This window comes from Homo sapiens, chromosome 1, assembly GCF_000001405.40.
Source record: "Homo sapiens chromosome 1, GRCh38.p14 Primary Assembly".
NCBI lineage: Eukaryota > Metazoa > Chordata > Mammalia > Primates > Hominidae > Homo > Homo sapiens.
This window is the reverse complement of record NC_000001.11, coordinates 18,814,662-18,822,879: the sequence shown is the minus strand read 5'-3', so window position 1 is coordinate 18,822,879 and position 8,218 is coordinate 18,814,662. Positions and strand designations below refer to the sequence as shown.

The window sequence follows — 8,218 nt, the reverse complement described above, 5'->3', positions numbered from 1 at the left end:
CAGATTGCTGACTTGTTATATCCTAACATGGTGGAAAGAGGGTGAGAGAACGCTGTGGGGTCCCTTTTAGAAGGGCACGAATCCCAGCCGGGCTTGGTGGCTCACGCCTGTAATCCCAGCACTTTGGGAGGCTGAGGCAGGCAGATCACCTGAGGTCAGAAGTTTGAGACCAGCCTGATCAACATGGAGAAACCCCGTCTCTACTAAAAATACAAAATTAGCCAGGTGTGGTGGCACATGCCTGTAATCCCAGCTACTCAGGAGTCTGAGGCAGGAGAATTGCTTGAACCTGGGAGGTGGAGGTTGCGGTGAGCCGAGATTGTGCCATTGCACTCCGGCCTGGGCAACAAGAGCAAAATACTGTCTCAAAAAAAAAAAAAAAAAAAAAAAAGAAAAGAAAAAAAAAAAAGGGCCGGGTGCGGTGGCTCACACCGGTAATCCCAGCACTTTGGGAGGCCGAGGTGAGCAGATCACGAGGTCAGGAGATGGAGAACATCCTGACTAACACGGTGAAACCCTGTCTCTACTAAAAATACAAAAAATTAGCTGGGCATGGTGGTGGGCGCCTGTAGTCCCAGCTAATCGGGAGGCTGAGGCAGGAGAATGGCGTGAACCTGGGAGGCGGAGCTTGCAGTGAGCCAAGATTGCACCACTGCACTCCAGCCTGGGTGACAGAGCGATACTCCGTCTCAAAAAAAAAAAAAAGAAGGGCACTAATCCCATTTGTGAGGGCTCCCTTCTTATGACCTAATCACCCCCAAAGACGCTGCCTCTCAATACCATCACATTAGGGATTAGTATTTTAACAGATGCATTTTTGGGGGACATAAACATTCAGTCCATAGCATCATGACTACTATTATTGTGAATTCTTAACCCCAACGGTCCATGATATGTATGCATTAACAAAAGGGAGGCAGGAATAGGGGTTGGCCTAGAGTTGAACTTAGGAAACTGGTAGAGTCCCCAGGTCTCCTCTGCCTCCAGGCTCCCTAGATCCTCTTGATCTAAGAGGGGGAGCTTCTCAGACTCTTTAAGGGCTTATCTCAGCCACTTTTGCCAGGGATGTGAAAAGACGGCCCCTGCTCCGCTGGAAAGAGTAATTCTTAACCCAGGGGAAGGAAGGAGCCAGTCACGCGAGAGGCAAGAGCTCTGGATTGGGAACCAGAAGACCTGGATCGATTCTTAGCCAGGCTGTTGGCTCCAGTGACCTTGGGCCCGTCACCCCTCCTCCCTGGGCCTCAGTCTCCCAATCTGGATCAGGTCATCTCTAAGCTAAGGCTGCTTCCCATCTGCATTCAGTCCAGCACAGCAGGACCTCAGCATCTCCCCATCCACCTGTGGCCTGGCCTTCCTCATCGCTCGTTCCGTTTGCTGTTTCTTGCCTCGGCCTCCCTATCTCCGTCCACAGCCCTTCTCACAGGGCGTCAGGTATGTGTACCTCGGTGTGGCTGAGAACAGGATTCCTGCAGCGGGCCTTCCTGTCCAGGGCAAGGCCTGGTGTGGGCAGGGGACCTGCGAATCCCATCACTTCACCCCAGCCTGCCTGCCTCCTGGGCGGCTCCCCTAAATCAGTGCCCTGCCTGTCAAAACATGAAACACAGTCAAGATATGAACCAAAATGAGGAGCTGGAGAACAAGAACTCTATGAAATCGCTATGATCCTCTTCCCTGGGCCAACCAATGGACCCCGTCACTCCCTGCCTCTGGGCCTGTTTCCCCATCCACGCAAGGAGAGTGGTCCCTAACTTGGACACAAATTTTCCCGGTGGTTCTGAAGACCAGCCTCATTCTAGTTCACTGGACTGGGGATGTCCCTGTGGCCCAGCTTGTTGTCAGGATAGCGGCCACAGCCCAGGTCCTTCTGGAAAGCTGATCCGAGAGCCAGGTGTGCGCTCTCTGCAGGGCACTTCCAGAAGCTGACAGCAGATGGTGCTGTTGGCCCCATTCCTGTGCAAAGGGAGGCTGAGCCGCTGCCAGGGGCTCCGTGCTTGGAAGTGCTGGGCAGGGCTTGAAGTCCCGTCTCTTCCAGGCCCAAGGCTGGACGCTTGGGTAGACACACACACACACAAACACACGATGCAGAGACACGGAGGTGCATGCGTGCAGGCTGTTCCCGTCTATCCAGAGTGTGGTGCCAAATGCCAGCCCCGACTGTTAACTCACCCAGTGTGTGTTTCTGTGTCACCTCTACGGCACGGGGTCTGCCAGGCTGCAGGTGTCGGAGAGAGGCAAGGGCCGAAAGCAGGGCGGTTTGTGTGGGTGAATGCAGGCACACAGGTGCTAGTGTCTGTGGTTCGTGTGTACGCAGTGCCCACGGAGACCCGTGTGTGCACGCGGGTGTGCGAGGGGGTGCGTGTTAAGCACCCCAACGCCGTGTCCCTCTGGGCGACTATTTGGCTGTGTGTGGGGAGATGTGTGCGTCTATGACTGTGCATACAGGCATCTGTGCTTGCGTGCACACGTGTGTTTGGTACGTGCGTGTGCTTGTGTGGTAATCACAACCTTTTGGCTGGGCTGATGGGACAGGAAGCAGGAGGAATGATGAATGGTTTGAGTAGTAGGGAGGGTGTGAGTAGACAGGCTGGAAAGACCAACCAACCTCTTTGTTAGGAGGGTGAAGGCTGAAGCAGGTGGACCCAGTGCGCAGAGACCCTGGCCCGGATCGGGGAGGGGCGCGCCAGTCCTCACGAGCTGCGGGGAGATGGCACTGCCACTCTCATCACGGGTTAAATGAGTGTCCTCGGCACCAGGCACTTGCTGGGCCCTTTCCACTCACACACACTCTCGTCTAACAACCCTTGACGTCCCCACAGTACAGAGGAGGAAACTGAGGCTGGGGGAGGTAGAGGAACTTGCCTGTGGTCAGTCAGCGAGGAGGTGGCGGAGCTGGGTGTTGAACCTAAGTCCAGCCCCAGGCCCTGTCAGCAAATCACCTTTGCCTCAAGCCAGCCTGGCAGGAGGGAGAGACGTGGTGCTGGTGATCACCGGTGGGGAGAGGCAGGGGAGAGTGGCAAGGATGAGAGGAGGGAAGGGAGCCCGTGACTCCTGGGGCAGTGGAAAATCCTGGCTTGGGAGCTAAGTGCTCCCTCAGAGCATTGGCCTCTGCCCTTAGCTGTGGGGTCAGCCCCTCAGAGCCTCAGTTTCCCTATCTGCCAGGCAACGGGCTCGGCCCAGGCATGCTATGCCCTGACAGCATGCAAGAGACCTTGTTGGGCACTGCCCCTTCCCCATTAAACAAATGTTTATTGGGCATCTACTATGCGACACTGGGGGGTGCCATGGGGAACAGGACAGGCCAGCTCTCCACCCTCATGAAGCCCAAACTCCAGTGCACAAGCCCAAATTCCCACAATAAAGGGAAGCGGGGAAGCGCCGAGACTGAAGTAAGTGAGGTAAGTGCTGTGAAGAATGGCCGGGGCGACTGGACAGACAGGGGCTGGGGCCGCTTGTGGCCAGGGAGGGAGGCTGTCGGGGAGGGGCAGCCGCAGCAGGTTCTGGGGAAAGCATCTTCCGGACAGAGGGATGGGGAGGGGGCAGGAGCTGGATGGGGCAGGGCCTCTCAGGATTTCATTCTCAGGGCAACAGGACGTCACCCAGAGAATTTAAGCAGGAGAGGACCCGATCTGATTCGTGCTTGAAAGATCACCAGATGCAATGTGGAGAATGCTCTATGGGGACCAATGACTGCAGAAGGAGACCAGGATGTGGCAGGGATTCTATAAAAAAGCCACCCTGAGCCGGTGCGTTTAGGGCACGGGGGGCCTGGGAAGCTGTGATTTGAACTCCGTACCGTTGAGCAAGCCCTCTACCTGGTTTCTCCCTTCCCCTTGGCCCCACCCTAAAGCAGGCTCTTTCCCCGGCTTATTTTCTTATGCCTGGGGTGACTTATTTTACCACTGTGAAGCCTGGGAGTGAGGTCTCCAGGCATAGACCCTCTATCCCAGCTCAGGGCTCGAATTCTAGCTGGTCTGTTATTGGCAGGATGACTTCAGTCAAGTTGCTTCTCTGAGAGCCTCAGTTTCCCCATCTGTAAAATGACGGTAATGATGCTTCTTAGAGCACCTGATGGTAGCAGTGAGGATGAAACAGGATGGAGCAGGCGAGGGCTCTGTGCAGTGCCTGTCACATCGTCAGAGCTGTTGTGATCTTGCTGATCACTAAGTGACCCATATGGCCTGGCACAAGTCACTGAAGTCTCTTAACGGCAGTTTTCTCCCTGTAGAATCCCTGAGAACTGGGAAAGCCTGTAACACATAGCAGGCGCTCAGGATGCTTGTGTTGGGGAGTTGCTCCAGCCTACCCAGCCTTCTTTGGCTGGGAGGCAGGAACCAGTCCGTTCTGCAGAGAGGTGGCTTTGGGGGCAGGGGTATGGCCAGGAGGGGGTCAGGCTCACGTGAGGTCCCATGGTCTCCTCCTCCATCTCCCTCAGCTCCCCCCCACCTCCCTCAGCTCCCCCTCCACCTGCCTTCCCTCCAGCCCTCCCTCCACCCTACACTGTGCCCCAGGGAGTGGGCATTTGGAAGTCTCCCAGTGCCCCTTCCCTTCTCTGATTTGCATGTTTAGAATGTATCTGCAGACGCATCTCTCTAGCACGGGGCCCAGCCTTTCTGCCTCCCTCCCTTCCTGCCTGCGTCTCTGGGAGCTGAGCTATCTGCATGCACGAGAACCGAGAAAAGCAGGTCCACCCGGCCCCTCCTCTCCAGAACCTTCTGAGATGCCCCGTCCCTATCCCTGCTGCCTCAGCCCTGCCAGGACAACAGTTCCATCTGGGGGGCGTTGGGATTTCTTTTTGCACACCCGCAGCTCGGTCTGCACCCGTGGGGGCTGTCTAGCTCAGCGGCTGCCGGGTGGCACTCTCAGATCACAGGCCTGACATTTCAGCGCTTGTGTCTCTGTGCCAGGCAGGCACCAGCCCGAGCAATCGATTCTCTCTGCATAATCGCTCAGCACCGTCCATAACATTTCATCAGCCCCCATTGGCCCTCTGGGCTCCTTCCTCTGGGCCTCACGCTGGGTTGCCCATGCCCTCTCTTCCGGGGCTGGGTGCTGTTTTTCCAAGTCCTCGCGAGAGCTGCCCCCCTGCCCTCCACTGCCATCCCCGCTGCACTCCCCATGAGGCTGGCAGGGCTTCCTCAGTTTCTGGTCACCTCCTCATTCCCGTGTCACCTGGCATCAGCCACATTAGGTTCCCTCTGGTTGCTCTAAAAGCAGAAGTCTTTCCCAGCTCAGGGCTTTTGTACATGCTGTGCCTGCCATCAGAACGCCTTCCTAGTAGCCCCAGCATATTCTCCTCTTTGCCTAGCTCGCTTCCACTTAGCACTGGGGTCTCAGCTTAGCTGGTGCTTCCTCCAGGAAGTCCTCCTGGATTTCCCAGACTAGGCTAGGTTGTTCCACTTCACCCCTTTTTACAATCAACTCATCTCTTTGGCACCCCATCCCTCCTGTAGTGATTTATTTGACATCTGTCCTCCTCATTCCATCCGAGTAGGCCCTCTCTGTTTTCTTTACTTCTGTAGCTGTTGGGCTCATACAGTGATGCCCAATAAATGCTTAGTGAATTGAATGAATTATCGGATGAATGTTTGCTGAGTACAGCCACTCAAAGGCCTGATCTTTTGGCCGTGACAATGTCCCTCCCCGCAATCATGAGGAAGAGAATGGGTCTGCTCCAGGCCTTCCTTTGTGTAATGAGGGTGATGAGGCTGGGAGAGGAAGGAATGGTCGTGATGAGGGGAGGGGAAATAGGCTCTCTGAGGCCAGGGGCCAAGCCTGCTCCTCTGTCTCTCTTCTGTCTCTGATGTGTGATGGTGCTTGGGGGCTGTCAGCTGAGCAAAATGTAAAGAATGCTCATGTGGCTGGTGGGGTGGGTGGAGCTGATGGTGGTGAGGCTAAAGGTGACAGCTCTTGGCAGTGGTGGTGACTGTGTTGATGATGGCGGTAATGAAAATACTCATGCTGATGTTGGTTGCTTATTTGGCAGTGGAAACAATGGCAATTTTGCTGTGGCTTTGGGGTGATGGTACAAAGCATGTTTGAGAAAATGGACTTTGGAGTTAGGCAAACCTGGGCTCCTCTCCTGCCCCTATCGCTTTAGGCATCCAAGAAACCCTTCAGTGTCTCAGTTTTCCCATCTGTAAAGCAGGTACCATAAGAGTACCTACTCCATTGGGGCATGGCTGGGACTAGGTCTGTTGTCAGGATTAAATGAGAAGATGCCTGGAGAGCTCTTAGCGCAGTGCTTGGCCCACGTGAGGTTTTGAGTGACCATGCGCGGAATGACATCATTAGGATGATAGCTTGGTGGTGATGGCCCCAGGGCTGCTACTATTCCTGGGGATGATGATGGTGACATTTGGGAGGAAGGGGATGAAGATGGCCATTGTGGGTGCTTTTCCTGATGCAGGGGCAGTTGACAGGGCGAAGTGATGCTGATGATGTTGATGATGGTGATGGTGACAGAGAAGCTTAAGACTGATTAATTCAATTGTCGGTTAAACAAGCAGCATGTGTTTTGTGTCAGCAAATTTGGGGGAAAAATAAATACGACCCTTGGTTTTCAGGAGTCATGAATAAAATAGAAAATTCACACACATATGGTAGGAATAAAACTCTGGGGACTGTTGTGGGGTGGGGGGAGGGGGGAGGGATAGCATTAGGAGATATACCTAATGCTAAATGACTAGTTAATGGGTGCAGCACACCAGCATGGCACATGTATACATATGTAACTAACCGGCACATTGTGCACATGTACCCTAAAACTTAAAGTATAATAATAATAATAATAATAATAATAATAATAAAAACAAAAACAAGGTGGCACATGATTGGATGTCAACTGGGTGCTTTCCATCAGAGGAGGAGCAGGGCGAAGGCACCAGGGGGAGGTGGTTCCGAGGCTGGGTGTTCCAGGAGGCAGGAAAGGGGTAAGCGCAGGGATGGTGCTTCTTGCAAGCTGAGGGAAGAGTGAGAGGTGGGAGCCAGGGCTGGGGGTGGGGGACTGGCGGGAGAGGAAGAGGAACCTTGATGTTTAGTCTCAAGCTCTGGTTCTAGTCCCAGCTCCACTCCTGACCTTCTCTATGACCCTGGGCTGTCTCTGTCCCTAGAAATAGGCCCTGGTTTCCCCAAGGCTTCAAGCCTCTTGATTTAGTGTCCATTTTACAGACGGACACACCGAGTGCATTTGAATCCTCATTTTAGCAAGCAGATGCTGACCTTGCAGAAGGCATCCTCGGAGGTAATCAGGCCGGCATGTGTGACATCAGGGTTGAGATCCATTTCTGAGGAATCACACAGGGATGTCTGAACATCCCTCCTTTCCTCTCATTTGCATGTTTAAAATGTATCTGCAGATGCATCTCTGGCCGCCAGCCTCCCTTCCCCCATGGCCAGCAGCTCTGGGAGCTTAGTTACCTGCATACATCAAAGTCTAAGAAAGCACATTCCATGCCAGTGCCTCCTCTTCTGATGTTGGTGTCCCAGATGTGTGTCATGACAGAGAGGGCAGCACCTTGCCCGATGCCACACAGCCAGAGGAGGCAGAACAGCAGCTCAGGGGACACAGGTGAAAGCCACGGTGTGACCCCCATCTTGTCCAGGGTTCTCCCCTCACTGGGTTGACCACCGGGGTGGGGAGCAGTGGAGGACAGGGGGAGTAGGGACAAAGGAAACTACCCCTTATCTAGTGGACACGGTGTAATTAAGCCTGTGGACTTTGGAGCCAGAAAGGCCTGGATTTGAATCCTAGCTTTACCACTTAGTGCTGTGTGACCTCAGGCAATCTACTCAGCCTCTCTGTGCCTCGGTTTAGGATTAAGTGAGTTTGTATGTAGGCCCTAGGGCGTAGCTGCCCCGTGGAAAACCTAGCTGTTAGTATGTGCTCTGCACTTTGTATATGCAAATTAGCTTTGTTGAATCCTGTCCCCCCTTGAAGTAGGAATTATCCCCGCTTTGCAGATGAAGAAACCGAGAAGGAAGGTAGGAAGCTTGTCCAGCCAGGATTCATGCCCAGGCCTGGCTGGCTCTGTGCCCGCTGAGCCGCCTTGGCAGGGGAGAGTGAGGGAGGGGTCTGGAGGGCTGATGGGGGGCTGGTGGGTTGGGGAGGGGAGTGGGAAGCAGCCAGCCTGACATAAGGCCCTCAAGAATGTGGTCCGCTTCCTCCCAGGCTCCTGGGACCTGTTTATCCTGGATGTGGGGAGACAGCTGTGGCGGGTGT

The 8,218-nt window shown here is 54.4% G+C and overlaps 4 annotated features.

Annotated features, from left to right (window-relative positions):
* Nucleotides 1,801-1,979: a silencer, noted in NCBI's record as "fragment chr1:19147395-19147573 (GRCh37/hg19 assembly coordinates)". NCBI's record gives its function as "represses an EF-1alpha promoter that drives an FKBP-Casp9 reporter gene in an ReSE screen in K562 erythroleukemia cells {active_cell/tissue: K562}" and the evidence as "EXISTENCE:reporter gene assay evidence [ECO:0000049][PMID:32094911]".
* Nucleotides 2,158-2,667: an enhancer, noted in NCBI's record as "H3K27ac-H3K4me1 hESC enhancer chr1:19146707-19147216 (GRCh37/hg19 assembly coordinates)". NCBI's record gives its function as "activates a minimal SCP1, AML or CMV promoter by ChIP-STARR-seq in naive H9 embryonic stem cells {active_cell/tissue: H9 hESC(naive)}" and the evidence as "EXISTENCE:reporter gene assay evidence [ECO:0000049][PMID:30033119]".
* Nucleotides 2,668-3,177: an enhancer, noted in NCBI's record as "H3K27ac-H3K4me1 hESC enhancer chr1:19146197-19146706 (GRCh37/hg19 assembly coordinates)". NCBI's record gives its function as "activates a minimal SCP1, AML or CMV promoter by ChIP-STARR-seq in naive H9 embryonic stem cells {active_cell/tissue: H9 hESC(naive)}" and the evidence as "EXISTENCE:reporter gene assay evidence [ECO:0000049][PMID:30033119]".
* Nucleotides 4,874-5,374: an enhancer, noted in NCBI's record as "H3K4me1 hESC enhancer chr1:19144000-19144500 (GRCh37/hg19 assembly coordinates)". NCBI's record gives its function as "activates a minimal SCP1, AML or CMV promoter by ChIP-STARR-seq in naive H9 embryonic stem cells {active_cell/tissue: H9 hESC(naive)}" and the evidence as "EXISTENCE:reporter gene assay evidence [ECO:0000049][PMID:30033119]".